This window comes from Homo sapiens, chromosome 9 (assembly GCF_000001405.40).
Source record: "Homo sapiens chromosome 9, GRCh38.p14 Primary Assembly".
Taxonomy (NCBI): Eukaryota; Metazoa; Chordata; class Mammalia; order Primates; family Hominidae; genus Homo; species Homo sapiens.
In genome coordinates, this window is record NC_000009.12 from 93,797,906 (window position 1) to 93,814,946 (window position 17,041).

Genomic DNA, 17,041 nt, shown 5'->3' on the forward strand with positions numbered 1-17,041 from the left:
CCCTCTTCTTCTATTTTTATTTCCACTTAGCTTCCTTTACACTCTCCACTTTTTAAATATGATGGTTTTAAGTATGTCCTCTACATAAATTCAGTACTAGATCAGATGGTGTTACAACTTTTGCTTCAACAATAAAGTACAATAGATAGGAATGGTGGTGAATGCCTGTAGTCTCAGCTACTCAGGACACTGAAGCAGGAGGATTGCTTAAGCCCAGGAGTGTGAGTCCAGCCTGGGCAACATAGCAAGATCTCATCTCAAGAAAACAACAAACAAACAAATATACCAATAAAGTATGATTAAGATACTCAAGAAGTGAGGGATTGTCTGTTATGTTTACTTCTACTTTTGCCCATTACCCTGTTGTTATTTCCTTTCTGAAGGTACCCAGCCTTTTGTTAATATTATTTTTCTGTTACAGATATGTTCCTTTACCTATTCTTTCAGGATAGGTGGGTCTTCTAGGAACAGATCCTCTTACTGTTTTTTCATTTTAAAAAAATGTGTGTATTTCCCCTTCAGTCTTGAAGATAGCTTCACTGGATATAGGATTTGGGGTTTCCAGGTCTTTTCTTCCAGCATTTGATCAATGTTGTGCCACTTCGTCTGGCCTTCAAGGTTTCAGATGAAAAATCTGCTGTCGTTTCATTTGAGTTGATTTTTCTTTATAGGTAATACATAACTTCTCTCTGGTGCTTTTAAAGATCTTTTTCCCTCTATCTTTAGTTTTCAGAATTTTAATTATGATGAGTCTTAGTATTATAGATGGAATGTTTTCGTCCCTCCCCCAAATTAATATATTGAAGCCCTAACCACCAATGTGATAATATTTGGAGGTAGGGACTTTGGGAGGTAATTAGGCTTAAATAAGGTCATGAGGGTGGGGCCCCCATGATAAGATTAGTGTCCTTATGAGAAGAGAAAGAGACCAGACAACACGCACACGCACTCTCTCTCTCTCTCTCTTTCTCTCCCTGTCTCCCTCCCTCCCTCCCTCTTTCTCTTTCTCCTTCCTTTCCTCTTTCTCTTTCTTCATGTGAGGACACAGAGAGAAGGCAGTGCCTACAAGCCAGGAAGAGGGCCCTCACTGGAAATAAAATCTGCAGGCACCTTGATCTTGTACTTCCCAGCTTCCATAAGGATGATAAATATACATCCATTGTTTAAGCCACCCAGTATGTGATATTTTGTTACTGGAGCTGGAGCTGACTAATACACTAAGTGGAGGTTTCTTTGGGCTTATTTTATTTGTGATTCGCTCGGCTTTTTAAATCTGTAGGGTTAGGTGTTTAACCAAATTTGAGAAGTTTCAGCCATTCTTTCTTTTTTTTTTTTTTTTTTTTTTAGACAGAGTCTCGCTCTGTTACCCAGGCTGCAACCTCTGCCTCCTATGTTCAAGTGATTCTCCTGCCTCAGCCTCCCAAGTAGCTGGTATTACAGGTGTATGCCACCATGCCTGGCTAAATTTTTTGTATTTTTAGTAGAGACTGGATTTCACCATGTTGGCCAGGTGAGTCTTGAACTCCTGATCTCAAGTGATCTGCTTGCCTCAGCCTCTCAAAGTGCTGGGATTACAGGTGTGAGCCACCATGACTGGCCCATTATTTCTTTAAATATATTTGGTGTCACACACTCTTTCTTCTCCCCGTTTGGGACATCAATGATGAATGTTGAAACTTGTATTATTCTTTCACAAATACTGGAAGCTTTATTTATTTTGTTCAGTCTAGTATCTCTTTATTATTCAGATTGTGTAAATACTACTGTTGTCTTCAAGTTCTCTGATTCATCCTTCTGTCATCCCTACTTATCCATTAAGTACAGTTAACAAGTTAATTTGGCTATTCTATTTTTGAGGTTAGCTGCCTGTCCACAGAAGTGATGATAGTATTAATAAGTTTCCCAAGAGTTCTCTGGATGAAAGTTCAGTTCCTCATCTGTGTGTAGGGGTGATCATTGTATCCCTCAGTTCCTCATGTTGCATTGGGGTGGTAGCATGATTTGCTTTCTTTTCTCTATGTTGAGTTGACAATAGTACCACTTCATTCATTCTCTGTACATTGAGGTGAATGCAGTATCACTCAGGATTTTATTCATATACTAGGTTAACAACAGCATCAGTCACATCTTCATCTGTACGTTGATGTGATCACAGTATTCGTCAATTCATCATCTGCTCCTTGGGGTAATAGTAGAGTCATTAAATTCATTAGTTCTTTGGAGTGATTATAATATCACTGTGTTCCTCATCTGTACATTGGGTTGATGGGACAACATTTGATTGGTAATCTATGCCTTGGGATAATAGTAAGATTACTTGATTTCTCATCTATACCTTGGCATGGTAATAGGATCACTCTATGTCTCATCTGTACATCAGATTTGGGAATATTTGCATTGTATACTTACTAGTTGAGCAACTCAAATAGAAAAATCCCAAATCTGAAATGCTCCAATGAGCATTTCTTTTGAGTATCATGCTGGTGCTCAAAAAGTTTTGGATCATTTTGGAGTTTAGATTTTCAGATTTGGGATGCTCAGCCTGTAGTAGAACCACTAGTTTCTCATCTGTACTTTGGGTTGAGTGGCATAAATCAGGTTAAGTGATATCACTGGGATCAGCATCTGTACAATGAGGTAGTAGCAGGATCATTCATTTCCTCATCTGTATATTTGGCAATAGTATCACTGGATACCACATCTGTGCTTAAGGATGATGATATAACTTGGCTTATCGTCTGTGCTTTGGGGTGTGTTTCACAGTGGGAAGGCCTATGCACACCTTCCCCAAAGTCAGAGGAAGCTGATAGGCCAAAGAAAGAGGCCAGTTTCTTGGAAACCCAGTTTCTTGGAAAGAAATGTTTAATAAGGTCTTACTAACAGAAACCATGTCTGAGTCTTTGGCAGCAGGGAGACAAGATGGTGGATCCCACACCATTACTCCCTTGACCCAGGGCTTATATACTATAAGGGAAGGGTGGTTCAGCAGGGATGTGTAGAAAAATTGGGACTATGGGTTTTCAGTGCTTGAAGGCACTGGTCTGAGGTGGTGGAGTAGGAGTCCTACTGTGTACACTTGGGCATGTAATCCACTTATATGAGCCCCAATCTTCTTCCCACTTGCGCAGGCATTCCAGGGGACAAATGTCATTTTGTTCTGGGTGGGCACATCTGAGGACCCTCTGTCTCTGGCTTTGAGGTCACCTCCTGAGGAAGCCTTTACTGACTGTCTTCTCTGATCCTGAAAGTCTTTTGCACACCCCAGTGTTTGGGTCTGTCTGTTTGCAGGTCTAACTCTCCTCTGGACAAGGCTGGGAGCTCCATGAAAGCCATGCCTCAGCCAGGGGCTGGGGGCGGTGGGGGGCTCTTTCTCCCATGATGCAAGAGGCTGAGATGGCTGGAAGCTATCCTGCCTCCCGTGGAACCAGGCCAGCCAAGCCACGATGGAGGCTGCTCAGGGGCTGGACAGCCAGCAATCAGCAGCTGCCTCTTCCAGCTGACATCTCTTCTGAGTCAGGGAGATGCACCAGCCAAACCCTGATCTGCCCTCTCCTGATCATGTGACACCCCCACTCTGACCTTAGTCTCCCCACCCGCAGAATGGGGTCATAATGACACGAGAGCATGCAGTGGAAGTGTTCAGTGCACAGGAAGGGTTTAATCACCATCAGCCATCATCGCAGTTGTCATCATCCCCCTCCCAGGCAGAGAGGTGCCTGGCCTCTCCTGTTGGCCCTTGGAGGGTGCAGGGGCAATGGCCCCAGGCCTGCCCTCCAGACTCATAGTTAATGAGGAGCTGATAAATGGCAGGGCTATGTGGGCTCCGCTTCCAAAGCTGTGCCTTGCAGGCTCTCAAAGCAGCAAGTGTTTACATGCTCAGAACAAGTGTCCTGAGGCCTGCACTTTGTCAGACACTTTAACACTGTGGCAGGGCTGGGTGGCCCAGCTTCATCCCCAGTCTGGATGGCATAAGGGCGACTTACTGGGGGAAAGTACAAGGAGTGACACCAGTTCCAGGGCAGGATGAAGACAGCTCTTCTCTCTCTGGCTACTGGAAGTCCAGGTGTCAGGCTCCAGGGGACTCCCTGAGACAATGGCACCTGCCCAGGGGTGTGTGGAGGGGGACAGTCTCAGCTCTAACGTTGGCTCTGCCACCTTGGCTGTGATCAGCCCGAGCCTCGAGGCCCTCAGCTGCACATGTGCCAGCCTCATAGTCCTCACATGGGGGTTTGCTGTGTGGTGGGACGGGGCAGGCCTGGAAGCTCAGGGACCTCCACTTTGCCTCCATTCTGCACATGGTAATCATAGTGGTAGTGATGGTCCACCAGCCTCACACAGTAAATGCTAAGTCCCCAGCCCTGCTTTGAAACCCTTCAGTATATTATTGAATCAACACAAAATCCCATGAAGCACAAGCCTAAAATTTTTTGCATTTTCAGAAGAGCTCAGGAAGATGAAGTCCTTCCCTGGGGTCCCACAGCTGCCACCTTTAAGCCTGGGAGGTGTGCTGGTCTCCACCACCTAGTCAACTCAGGAATGGGCTTGAAGATTCAGACAAAGAAAGCAAGGCTTGAAAAGGCTGAATGACCTCTCCCCAGGCAGACAGCAGACAGAAGAGGATGGGCCAAGATCGGAGCCTAAAGCCCATTCATTCTGTGGACTCCAGGAAGAGTGGTCCCTGTGTCCAGGCTGCCCAGGCTGCTGTGGGTGTCATGTAATCAGCCCCACAGCAGCAGCAGTCATTGTCACAGGGACAGCCCTGCTCACACCTGCTGGGTGGTGGCCCAGCCGCTGTCCTGGAGCCTCTTAGGTTTCTCTCTAGCCTCTCTTGGAGCTCACACATCCTCTAGGGAAGAGGTCCTGCACTATCTCCCTGTGATGGGGCCAGCTCTGGGTTCATGGTGTGACCCTGCTTCCTGGAAAAGTCTGGGATGACTGCACCATCCATGATTGGTGACTTCCAGGAACTGAAGGTCGCCTTGGTCCCACCCTCCTAGAGTCCTGGGTCCCTGGGATGCCCCTAATGCAATCCAGGCAGGCCTCACCCTCCACCTGCTCACCTGGCCCTTCCTTGGCCTGCAATTTGACTGTCCCCACCCTCGGCCCCTCCCTGACCTGTCAATACCATTCAGCTCCTCATCTCCTCTGAACCCCTCACCAAGCCACTGTTTCACCCCTTGCCATGCCTGGGGCTGGGAGGGCCAGCAGCCTCTGCCCATCATGCCCTGCCCCATGTGATGCTGGGAAGCACCACCATCCCTGAGCCTTCAGGTCCCACCTGTATGCCTGTGATGACGTTGAAAAGAACTTGCCAAAGTCTCAGGATACAAAATCAATGTGCAAAAATCACAAGCATTCCTTTATACCAACAATAGGCAAGCAGAGAGCCAAATCATGAATGAACTCCCATTCACAATAACTACAAAGAGAATAAAATACCTAGGAATACAGCTAACAAGGGATGTGAAGGACTTCTTCAAGAAGAACTACAAACCACTGCTCAAGGAAATAAGAGAGGACACAAATAAATGGAAAAACATTCCATCCTCATGGATAGGAACAATCAATATCATGAAAATGGCCATACTGCCCATCAAACTACCATTGACATTATTTACAGAATTAGAAAGAACTATTTTAAATTTCATATGGAATCAAAGAAGACCCCATATAGCCAAGATAATCCTAAGCAAAAACAACAAAGCTGGAGGCATGACGCTACCTGACTTCAAACCATACTACAAGGTTACAGTAACCAAAACAGCATAGTACTGCACCAAAACAGATATATAGACCAATGGAACAGAACAGAGGCCTCAGAAATAACACCACACACCTACAATCATCTGATCTTTGACAAACCTGACAAAAACAAGCAATGGGGAAAGGATTCCCTATTTAATAAATGGTGCTGCAAAAACTGGCTAGCCATTTGCAGAAAACTGAAACTGGACCCCTTCCTTACACCTTATACAAAAATTAACTCAAGATGGATTGAAGACTTAAATGCAAGACCTAAAACAATAAAAACCCTAGAAGAAAACCTGGGCAATATCACTCAGGACATAGGCATGGGCAAAGACTTCATGACTAAAACACCAAAAGCAATAGCAACAAAAGCCAAAATTGACAAGTGGGATCTAATTAAACTAAAGAGACTCTGCACAGCAAAAGAAACTATCATCAGAGTGAACAGGCAACCTACAGAATGGGAGAAAATTTTTGCAATCTATCCATCTGACAAAGGGCTAATATCCAGAATCTACAAAGAACTTAAACAGATTTACAAGAAAGAAACAAACAGCCCCATCAAAAAGTAGGGAAAGGATATGAACAGACACTTCTCAGAAGAAGACATTTAGATAGCCAACAAACATATGAAAAAAAGATCATCATCACTGGTCATTAGAGAAATGCAAATCAAAACCACAATGAGATACCATCTCACACCAGTTAGAATGGCGATCATTAAAAAGTCAGAAAACGACAGATGCTGGAAAGGCTGTGGAGAAATAGGAATGCTTTTACACTGTTGGTGTGAGTGTAAATTAGTTCAACCATAGTGGAAGACAGTGTGGTGATTCCTCAAGGATCTAGAACCAGAAATATCATTTGACCCAGCAATCCCATTACTCTGTATGTACCCAAAGGATTATAAATCCTTCTACTATAAAGACACATGCAAACATATGTTTACTGTGGCACTGTTCACAATAGCAAAGACTTGGAACCAACACAAATGCCCATGAATGATAGACTGGATAAAGAAAATGTGGCACATATACACCGTGGAATACTATGCAGCCATAAAAATGAATGAGTTCATGTCCTTTGCAGGGGGACATGGATGAAGCTGGAAGCCATCATTCTCAGCAAACTAACACAAGAACAGAAAACCAAACACCACATGTTCTCACTCCTAAGTGGGAGATGAACAATGAGAACACATGAACACAGGGAGAGGAACATCACACCCTGGGACCTGTCAGGGGGTAGGGGGGTAGGGGAGGGATAGCATTAGGAGAAAAACCTAATGTAGATGATGGGTTGATGGGTGTAGCAAACCACCATGGCACATGTATATCTATGTTAAAAACCTGCATGTTCTGCACATGTATCCCAGAACTTAAAATATAATAAAAATAATTTTTTAATAAAGAAAGAAAATGGCCATACTGCCCATCAAGCTACCATTGACATTCTTCACAGAATTAGAAAAAACCGTTTTGAATTTCATATGGAATCAAAGAAGACCCCATATAGCCAAGACAATCCTAAGCAAAAACAGCAAAGCTGGAGGCATCACACTACCTAACTTCAAACTATGCTACAAGGCTACAGTAACCAAAACAGCATGGTACTGGTACCAAAACAGATATGTAGACCAATGGAACAGAACGGATGCCTCAGAAATAACACCACACATCTACAACCATCTGATCTTTGACAAACCTGATAAAAACAAGCAATGGAGAAAGGATCTCCTATTCAGTAAATTGTGCTGGGAAAACTGGCTAGCCATTTGCAGAAAACTGAAACTGGACCCCTTTCTTACACCTTATACAAAAATTAACTCAAGATGGATTAAAGATTTAAATGTAAAACCCCAAACCATAAAGCACCCTAGAAGAAAACCTATAAACCTAGGCAATACCTTTCAGGACATAGGCATGTGCAAAGACTTCATGACAAAAACGCCAAAAGCAATTGCAACAATAGCCAAAATTGACAAATGGGATCTAACTAAACTAAAGAAAGAAAGTATCATCAGAGTGAGCAGGCAACCTACAGAATGGGAGAAAGGTTTTGCAACGTACCCATCTGACAAAGGCCTAATATTCAGAATTTACAAGAACTTAAACATATTTAAAAGAAAAAAAAAACCAACCCCATCAAAAAGTGGGCAAAGGATATGAACAAACACTTCTCAAAGGAAGACATTTATGCAGGCCTGGAAGCTCAGGGACCTCCACTTTGCCTCCATTAAACATTGCCTCCAACAAACATTAAAAAGAGCTCAACATCACTGATCATCAGAGAAATGCAAATCAAGACCACAATGAGATACCATCTCACGTCAGTCAGAATGGTGATTATTAAAAAGTTAGGAAACAATAGATGCTGGCTGGGCTAGGGAGAAATAGGAATGCTTTTACACTGTTGGTGGGAATGTAAATTGGTTCAACCATTGTGGAAAACAGTATGGCGATTCCTCAAGGATCTAGAACCAGAAATACCATTTGGCCCAGAAATCCCGTGACTGGGTATATACCCAAAGGAATATAAATCATTGTACTATAAAGACACATGCACATGTATGTTTGCTGCAGCACTGTTTACAATAGCAAAGACATGGAACCAACCCAAATCAATGATAGACTGGATAAAGAAAATGTGGCACATACATACCATGGAATACTATGCAGCCATAAAAAGGAAGATCATGTCCTTTGCAGGGACATGGATGAAGCTAGAAGCCATCATCCTCAGAAAACTAACACAGGAACAGAAAACCAAACACTGCCTTTTCTCACTCATAAGTGGGAGTTGAATACTCGGGAGGCTGAGGCAGGAGAATGGCATGAACCCAGGAGGCGGAGCCTACAGTGAGCCGAGATCGCGCCACTGCACTGCAGCCTGGGTGACAGAGCAAGACTCCGCCTCAAAAAAAAAAAAAAAAAAAAAAAGAACACATGGACACAGACAGGAGAACAACACACATCAGGGCCTGTTGGGGAGTAGGGGGTGAGGAGAGGAAACTTAGAGGATGGACCAATAGGTGCAGCAAACCACCATGGCACATGTATACCTGGGTAACAAACCTGCACATTCTGCACATGTATCCCATTTTTTTAAGAATAAATAAATAAATACATTAAAAATTTTTTAAAAGGAAATACCTTGCAAGGTTTCCTTCTGTTTCATAGCAGCCTGCAACTGAGCAGGTTAAGGTGCTCATCCTATGGCTCTAGGAAGGGGGTCAGCTCTCTCCTGAGGTGCTGTGTGACCCCTGGTAAGTTAATTAGGCTCTCTGTACCTCAGCCTCCTCTGTAAAATGAGGGTGATAAGAATGCCTACCTCAAAGCTTTGTTCTGAAGATTCAATTAGCTACTATATATAAACAGAGTGCTGGACACATAGCAGGTGCTACATAAATGCTTCCTGTCATTAGAGTGACTTTTGTCTGTACTTTCGGGTGTGGATGTGATTAGCTCTAAGAAGTGGAATAGGCCTAGACTTACCTTCCCTCCCTGCATGGTGCCCACTAGGGTCCTTGTCCCCATTTGTCACTCAGCCAGGGAGCCAGGTGCCCAGGTCTGCCTGCCTACATCCACAGAAGAGCCACCTTGGCCTGCCTGATCCCTGAGAAATGAGCCTCGGCTGCAGGTTTATCTCCTCCTGGGCAGTGGGCATCCTGGGCCAGCCTGAGGCTTCCTGGCCCCTCTTAAGCCTGCCCTGGGCAGATGCTCAGCTCACACCATGTAGAGGTTTCAGAGGGGGCAATGCCACTCTAGACTTGGAACCCTAACCTGCTTCCAGCCTGGTCCTGCAGTGACCAGCAGGGCAGCATGACCGCCCCCTCCCCCAGGGCACCAGTCTTCACCTCCCCTGACAATGATACCACCAAGTCCCAGGCAGTGTGGACAGACATGCTGATGTCACACAGTAGGCGCTCAAACAGGGCAGTCACAGACAGATGGGCTGCTGGAGTTTCTGAATCCTCCCCTGCCAGCTGTCCCTTCCCCTCCCATGTGTCCCCTCCCCCACCATTGTCCCCTCCGCCTGTGGGGAGTGACTGGTGGTTGTGTTTAAGTGAGTAATTTAGCCCCCGTTTAAGAAGAGGAAGCAATAATAACGGCTGTAATTGTCCAAATTACTGCTGCCCCTTCCAGTTTGACATCTGCCTAATGACGGCGGATGGAAACCTGACCCGTGGCCGCGGGTGGGTGGGTGGTGATGGCTGCTTGGAGCCGAGCGTCCAGTCCCCAAAGCTGGCAGAGGCCCTGCTGGCCTGTGCTGGAGGCTCCAGGGCTGGGGGCTTCAGTGCAGTGTCCATGGGTTCCTCTAGAATGAGTGTGAGGGACGGGCCTAATTCATCTCAGAGACTCAGAAACTAAAGCCCAGAGGGACAGCAACTGCCCCACAGCCACAGAAGGTGGCTGGACCAGGGGATGGGATGGAGATTGTTCACTGTTTGCCATTTGGTATTTTTCACATTTTGAACCAGGTACTGCATTATCGATCCAAAATTTAAAATAAACAAGACATTGCCTCTTCAGCTGAGGCTTGGATGGCTCCTGACAGTCAGAGACACCGGCTTTGATGTAAAAGTATCTAGTGGACAGCATGGGGCTCTGCTGTTGCCAAGGCCACTTGGCCAGGACCTCACTGTGAGGACACAGGGCATGAACACAGCCTCAATCTGTTGACCCTCCCCTCTGAAGGCTCTTAGGGCCAGCGGGCCCAGGAGCTCCTAGTCATGGGATTTCATGGACCTATCACTTTTTAAAAGTTAGGTCTGCTCACTCTGTGTCATCAAGGACAGACCCAATGGCCCTAACACGAACCCACTGCCATTTGTTATCTCCAAGCAGCAGAGCTCTCAGCATCAAGGACTTTCTAAGAAAGGACCATGGTGATGGCTTTGTGACCTGCCTGGTATGAACCCAGCTCCACTGTTAAAGGACAGAGGGAGCGATTGGCTGTGGGCTGAGAAGTCAGGGTAGGGGGATGGGGTTTGGGCTGAGAAGTCAGGGTTGGGGGTGGGGTTTGGGCTGAGAAGTCGGGGTCGGGGGGTAGGGTTTGCTGCAGGTGCAGCAGTTTCCAGCTACAATATCCTTGGGAAAGGCTCACTCTCAACCTCACAGCCACATCCCACAGGTCTTCTACAAGCTCAGGCTGTTGGGGACAAGGAGAGGATAAGGCAGCAGAGTTTATAGAGGATTGGGGCCCTCTCAGTCCTCCTCTGAAGGAGCGAGGAGCCCCACCTGCTCCCACTTACATAGTCGGGTTGCTTTGGGACGGCAAGGAGCTGAAACCATTGGCTTCTCAGGGGTCCCTAGAGGATCAGGGCCCATTGCTGGGGACCCCTGAAGATCAGGATCCCAATACTGATCTGGCCCAGTGGGATAAGGCTCGCCATCAGGATTAGGACGGTACTAAAAAGCTGAAGAATATGCTGTTTCTTCCACTCCTGAGTGGCTCATAACAAATATCCCTTCAGCTGCTTTTCTGGAAAACTCTGAGCTCTATATAGGCCCTTGCCTGGCATTGGGTCAGCTCTGTGCTATTGATCAAATGCTAGACCACTTCCAATTTCCTTTTCCAAGAGGAGCTTCTTTTTCATTCATTTAGCAAGCACTTAATGTCTGTTGGCTGGGGGATCATGCTGTGTGGGGTGGTGCAAAGAATCCTAGATTTCGAGGCAGATGCACACAGGTTTGAATCCAAAACCCTGTCCTTTTGACATCTTGAGCAGAGCTGTTCACTTCTTGTCCCTCAGTTTACTCCTCTTTAAAATGGGAATAATAATGCCGGTGTTGCGGGGTTGCCTTGAGGGCATGTTGTGTCACCCAGCCTCGCATGGGGCCTCGGGATCTTCCTGTAGGACCCTTGCCTCCAGCAGCTCCAGGCTTGAGGCCCCTCCTCTCCATGGGTCCATTCAACCCCTGCCCCTGGGGTTCCTTGCACATTATCTTACCCTTACATTTGGGGGCTGCCCCAGAGCTGTAGGGTAACAGGCTGATGGACTGAGAGGATCCCGACACCAAGGCAGTGGGTGGGCTGAACAGACCTGGGTGCTGGCTGAAGAGAGGGCACCAGGCCTGTGAGGATGAACGAGTCCCTTGCCCTGGACATTCAGACGGCTGGGGCCTTTGCTGGTGAGAGTCCTCAGCCCCAGCTCTGCGGTCCTCTCCCTACTTGTGGCCTCAGGTGGCCTGAGCCTCGGGTTCTCATGTGCGAGACTCCATTCCCCAACCACTGCAGACCTGGGAGAGAGGGAGGGAGGGGGCAATGAAGGGGAGCGAGCTAAAATGTTAGTGAGCACCCACTAAGTGCCAGCCCCATTGTAAGGGGGTCTCACCGACCCCACACCGTACCAGAATGGGCCTCGAGTCACAGGTAGATTAGGCCCAGACCTCTGAGCATCTGTGTTACGGGACGATGCTCGGCACCGTGACGCTGTGACAAGCTGGGCGATCCTCAAACCTGGCTCAGGCAATTGGCCCACAGCCCTGCTAGGGGCAGCCTGAGGCGCCCACGTGGGGAGCTGGGCTGGAACTGCCACTGACCTGGTCCCGCTGGCTAAGTGTGCACAGACACCAGCTCAGAGTGCCCCAGCAAGCCGCCAACGGCACCTGCAGGCATCTCCAGAATTCCTGCAGAGGAGGGGTTGGAGCTGACTCGGGTTGCAGAGGGGGCCCCAGGCTGTGCCTCCATTCCCGAGCTCTTCTCCGGCTTCCTCAAAGCAGCCACTTTTGCAGCCACTCGCTAAGAGCCCTGGGTCCTTCCTTCCGGCCTCACGGCAGTTGGGGCCTCGAAAAGAGCATAAAAATGTCTAGATGACAATCGTTCACCTTTATTATATACAGAGGCCCCTCATCTCCTGCCTCTCAGGAGCGCCCCTCCCCTGGACCTGCAGGGGCGTCCGCCGCCTCCGCGTTTATCTGCGGGGAGGAATGTCTGCGAGGCCGGCGGAACGGAGCCTCCTCCACCCATCCATCACCGCCTGCCGAGCCCCTGACTGTGCCGGGCAGGCCAGGGTGCGCCTCTGGGAGGCCTAGCTTGGGGGGGCGCCGGAGGCCTGCTCCGCCAGTGCCCAGCCCCAGCAGGGGGGTTCGCGCAGCCTGACACCAGGGGCTCCTGGCCTTGGGCCAGGGTAGGCCCGGCCTGTCTCCTGGGAGCTGGGGGACTAGGATCCAGCACCCCAGTAGGGGAGGGACTGCTGCAAGAAAGGGCCGAGGGGAGACAGGTCTGGGGGGTCCAGAGCAGGGGCAGGCTGGAGACCAGCGGCGGCCGTTTGAGAGGGGCTGCAACATTGAAGGTGCAGGGCTTCCAGTGCCGGGGCCAGCTCAGCGTCCTCCCCTAGACAGGGTCCCACATACACCCACTTGGGGAGAGTACAGTGGAGTCAGTATCCATGCCTGCATTACTGTTTCTACACTGTTTTATACAAAAACATGAGTGGTTTTTCCATGGTTCCCATGTATTCTGACTTTTCCAAGGCAATGCCTATGGGAGACGTGGTACAGTCACTCCCTGCTTTGTAAAGCGCTGCTGGGTCTCCTGGGAAACAGCAGCGTGCCTGGCACTACGCAAGGCCCGCACAGCTGCGCCGTTGTTGTCACCAGCCGCAGTTCCCAGGTTGCACATGCCTAGAGAAGGTGTTGGCGGGACGCGGTTGCGCCTCTGACTTCCTTTAATTCCGACTTCTACTTGCGTCGTTGTGTAGGCGTCTGAGGGCCACCTGACGTCGTCTAGTGTCTCCACGCCTTGACACTTGTCTATTGAAATGCATCTTTTTTTTTTTTTTGAGACGGAGTCTCGCTCTGTTGCCCATGCTGGAGTGCAGTGGCGCGATCTCCGCTCATTGCAACCTGCAACCTCTGCCTCCCGGGTTCAAGCGATTCATCTGCCTCAGCCTCCCGAGGAGCTGGGGCTACAGGCGCCTGCCACCATACCCGGCTAATTTTTGTATTTTTAGCTCGGCTAATTTTTGTATTTTTAGTAGAGACGGGGTTTCACTATATTGGCCAGACTGGTCTGGAACTCCTGACTTTGTGATCTGCCCCCCTCGGCCTCCCAAAGTGCTGGGATTACAGGCATGAGTCACCGCGCCCAGCCTTGAAATGCACCTTTTAAAAGGTTAAGTGTTAATTTCCTTTGCCTTCCTCAATTGCAGTTGAGGTATTATGTGGTAATCACAGGATGTCAGAAAATTCATCAGGAGGTGGGTGCTGGTTCTGACTGGGCAGGTGGGCAGGCTGAGGGGTCCACAAACTTCTCCCCTTTCCCTCCCACCACTTATGGGCTTGCAGCCTCCAGGGAGTCACTGTGCTCAGCTCACAGATCTCCCTTCCCAACTCCAACAGGAGCAGAGGAAGTGGGAGAGCCACCTAGTGATGGTCCCACCCAGTGCGCACTCTTGCAGGCAGAGTACTCACTCATTTACTAAACAAATATTTGGGCACCTGCTCTGTGCCAGGCCCTGCTCCAAGTAGCAGAGGTATATGTGAGCAAAACAATCGCAAGCTCTGAGCCCCTGAACTGATGTTCTGAGGAGGAAAGCCAAAAGGAGACATCTAGACAGAAAACAATCCTTTTAAAGAGAGAGCAAGTTGAAGAAAGTCACACAAGTCATGGACCAGGAGGTCAAGAACTCTGGCTCAGGTGGCCCAGGAGGGCTTCCTGGGGAGGTGACATGGGTCAGAATCCTGTGACACAAGCCAGAGCCGGGACTCATACAGCATTGGGGGATGCAGCTGTTCTCCCCATGAGGCTGCCAGGCCAGGAATTCTGAAGTACTCCTGGCCTTTCACTCATGGGCATGAGGTGGCTGCCACAGCTCCAGACATCACATGTACACAGGACCGCAGCCAAAGGCAAGGACATGAAGTGTGTGTATCTGAGGCTGGAGGTGGCACCTGGAACAGCCTCTTTCATCTCCTTAGGCAGGATGAATCTCTTTCAGACACCTCCTCCAGAGGGAGTTTTTTCTACATTGTCTCACTGGCCAGAACTGCCTGCCCCTTTCCCACCCTCCTTGACTGGAAATTAAAGTGAGGGTCTGGCTCTCTTGCCCTTCCAGTGTGAGTGGGGAGTGGACGTGGGGCTGGCTGTAGGGGTGGACTGGACAGGCTTCTGGGCAGGACCTGTCAGAATCTGTGAGGCTTACCGCCAGGCATTTCCTAAAGGTATCTGACTCTTTTTTTCTCCAAGAGCATCTCATAGGACCACGTTCTTGGGATCACTCCCCTGGGGAAACATTACTGAAAGTGGTAGGAGCCTCCTGCTGGTTCTTCTCAGGGGCCCAGCCCATTGGGGCCCAAGTTCGAGAAGAGTTCTCTTGAGTGCTGATGGCCTGGAGCCCAGGAGCCCAGGGAGAAACCCAGGAGCCCAGGGAGGAACTCAGGAGCCCAGGTAGGGCAGGTTCCGGGAAAGAGGTGGCCCCAGCAGATTCTCCAGATGTTTTTCACACATGTAATTGTGGTTGGAGAAGAAACAAAACACTTCACAGCTCTGAGGAAACCAGTCACAGATCTGATGGACTAGGATTAATGAAGTTCAATATCATTCCTATGGCTCCTATCCAGGGCTAGCAAATTACAGGTGAAACCAACTAAAACCACATTTCCTATGAGATGGAATGGATGGAATGGGATCAGCCCACTAGGCCAGGAGCTTCTCCAGGGTGGGAATTGAGCCTTGCTTTCCTCCCTCCCTCACTGGACTCTGGTCATGTTAGCTCGCCTTCTCACTGATCCTTGAATCCCCCAGGCTGATCTTGCCCCAGGGCTTTTGCAAGTGCTATTCCCTGGAGCACTCTTCCCCAGATGTCCATTCACAAAGCTCCTTTCCTCACCTCCTCAGGTCTTTGTTCTAAGCTCCTTGCTCAGGAAGCCCCCACCCCATCTCAACATGTCTCCCAGAATCTTGCACCCCATCAACCACCACCTTACCATCCAACATACGGTTCTCTGTCTTGTTTGCAGTCTCCACACAGAGCCTGGCAAATGGTACATGTTCAAGATTTCATTCATTCCTTTATCCATTCATTCAAGAAACACTGATTAGTGCTGACGGTGGGAGGTGGAGGTCATTAAAATCCCTCAAGAACCACTCAGTCTGCTGCGGAAGACAGACTTGTAAACAGACCATCATGAAGCCCTGCTGTAAGTGCTGGGAGTGGGGGCACAGGCTGATGAGAGACCCTGGAGGAGGCATCTGAGCCCCCCCTTGGATCGGGGGAGGACAGAGAAGCTGCCACGTGAAGCCCAGCTGAGCTGAAATGAACTGGACACCAATTTCGTGCAGAGATCTCTGCAGGGTGTCCAGGCCAGGAGGTGGGAGAGGATTTGGGGCATCAGGACCCTGCAGGGTATCCCCACAGTCTTGGAGTCTCCATCCCAGGTGCTAACAGGAACATAGGTGTGGTTGAACTGGTCATATATTTCTACCTGGCTCTCTCTCAGTGTACAGCCACACACCCTGATGTGGCACCTGGCCTTGTCGCTGTGCCCAAGTGCTGATGTGGGCAGAGCACAGACAGACCCTGGTATGTGTTGAGGGAAGACACCCAGCGACTGGGGCAGCTGCCAGGCCAAGCCCTCCCGGCTCAGGTGCACAGGGTGCAACCCCCACCTTCCTCGTCCCCCTTGAGCTCCCTAAGCCCTCTGTTTACACAAGCAGCAGCCAGCAATACAAATCACCTGCCTCCACTAATGGACCAGCTGCCTCCCGAGGCCGGCCCTCTGACAGCTGCAGGATGCTTTCAGGAAAGGCTTTTGATTCCCAGTGACACTAGGCTACAATCTCTTCCTTCAAGCCCCCACCCCCACCTGCAGAGTCACACAAAGGATGGCTCTGAACAAAATGCCCTGCATGGAGGCAGGAAGAGCTCTGCTCCGCAGCACTGGGGGATGCTTCATCCTCCAGTGGGACGTGGATGTTCTCAGGAAGGGGAGCAGAGGAGGAGAGCAAGCAGACACAACCACAAAAGAAATGCTTCAACCTCATGAGGGGACATGGAGGGCCCAGTTGTGTCCTAGCACTGGCGGCACCTGGCTTGCAGCCCTGACTGGGTCCCCTTCCCTCTCTCTCTCTGGTTTCCCTGACCTCGGTGCTTCGTAGAGTGGAGAACTCATGCCTGTGGCATTGCCCATCAGCTCAGAGTGCACAGACACAGGGCGTCCTAACAGTGTGGGCCCTGCAGAGGGGGCAGCAACCCTGCCAACCCTCTGGGCACCTCTGAGAGCAAGTCCACAGCAACTGATCTCTCAGGCTCCAAGCTCTGCAATGCTAGAATTTAATCTCATCCTTT

At 49.1% G+C, this 17,041-nt stretch overlaps 1 long non-coding RNA gene across 2 annotated transcripts in view, besides 6 other annotated features; it reads left to right on the forward strand.

The window, feature by feature from the left end:
• Nucleotides 2,708-2,913: a silencer, noted in NCBI's record as "fragment chr9:96562895-96563100 (GRCh37/hg19 assembly coordinates)". NCBI's record gives its function as "represses an EF-1alpha promoter that drives an FKBP-Casp9 reporter gene in an ReSE screen in K562 erythroleukemia cells {active_cell/tissue: K562}" and the evidence as "EXISTENCE:reporter gene assay evidence [ECO:0000049][PMID:32094911]".
• Nucleotides 9,758-10,478: an enhancer, noted in NCBI's record as "H3K4me1 hESC enhancer chr9:96569945-96570665 (GRCh37/hg19 assembly coordinates)". NCBI's record gives its function as "activates a minimal SCP1, AML or CMV promoter by ChIP-STARR-seq in naive and primed H9 embryonic stem cells {active_cell/tissue: H9 hESC(naive and primed)}" and the evidence as "EXISTENCE:reporter gene assay evidence [ECO:0000049][PMID:30033119]".
• LOC101928014 (uncharacterized) overlaps nucleotides 10,444-17,041 on the forward strand; it is a 49,991-nt gene continuing 43,393 nt past the window's right edge. For both annotated transcript variants that reach the window (NR_188448.1, NR_188449.1), the window contains exon 1: nucleotides 10,444-10,659. This is a non-coding gene — a long non-coding RNA (uncharacterized LOC101928014). The remainder of the gene's footprint in view (nucleotides 10,660-17,041) is intronic.
• Nucleotides 11,631-12,209: an enhancer, noted in NCBI's record as "H3K4me1 hESC enhancer chr9:96571818-96572396 (GRCh37/hg19 assembly coordinates)". NCBI's record gives its function as "activates a minimal SCP1, AML or CMV promoter by ChIP-STARR-seq in naive H9 embryonic stem cells {active_cell/tissue: H9 hESC(naive)}" and the evidence as "EXISTENCE:reporter gene assay evidence [ECO:0000049][PMID:30033119]".
• Nucleotides 12,210-12,787: an enhancer, noted in NCBI's record as "H3K27ac-H3K4me1 hESC enhancer chr9:96572397-96572974 (GRCh37/hg19 assembly coordinates)". NCBI's record gives its function as "activates a minimal SCP1, AML or CMV promoter by ChIP-STARR-seq in naive H9 embryonic stem cells {active_cell/tissue: H9 hESC(naive)}" and the evidence as "EXISTENCE:reporter gene assay evidence [ECO:0000049][PMID:30033119]".
• Nucleotides 12,788-13,365: an enhancer, noted in NCBI's record as "H3K27ac-H3K4me1 hESC enhancer chr9:96572975-96573552 (GRCh37/hg19 assembly coordinates)". NCBI's record gives its function as "activates a minimal SCP1, AML or CMV promoter by ChIP-STARR-seq in primed H9 embryonic stem cells {active_cell/tissue: H9 hESC(primed)}" and the evidence as "EXISTENCE:reporter gene assay evidence [ECO:0000049][PMID:30033119]".
• Nucleotides 13,366-13,943: an enhancer, noted in NCBI's record as "H3K4me1 hESC enhancer chr9:96573553-96574130 (GRCh37/hg19 assembly coordinates)". NCBI's record gives its function as "activates a minimal SCP1, AML or CMV promoter by ChIP-STARR-seq in naive H9 embryonic stem cells {active_cell/tissue: H9 hESC(naive)}" and the evidence as "EXISTENCE:reporter gene assay evidence [ECO:0000049][PMID:30033119]".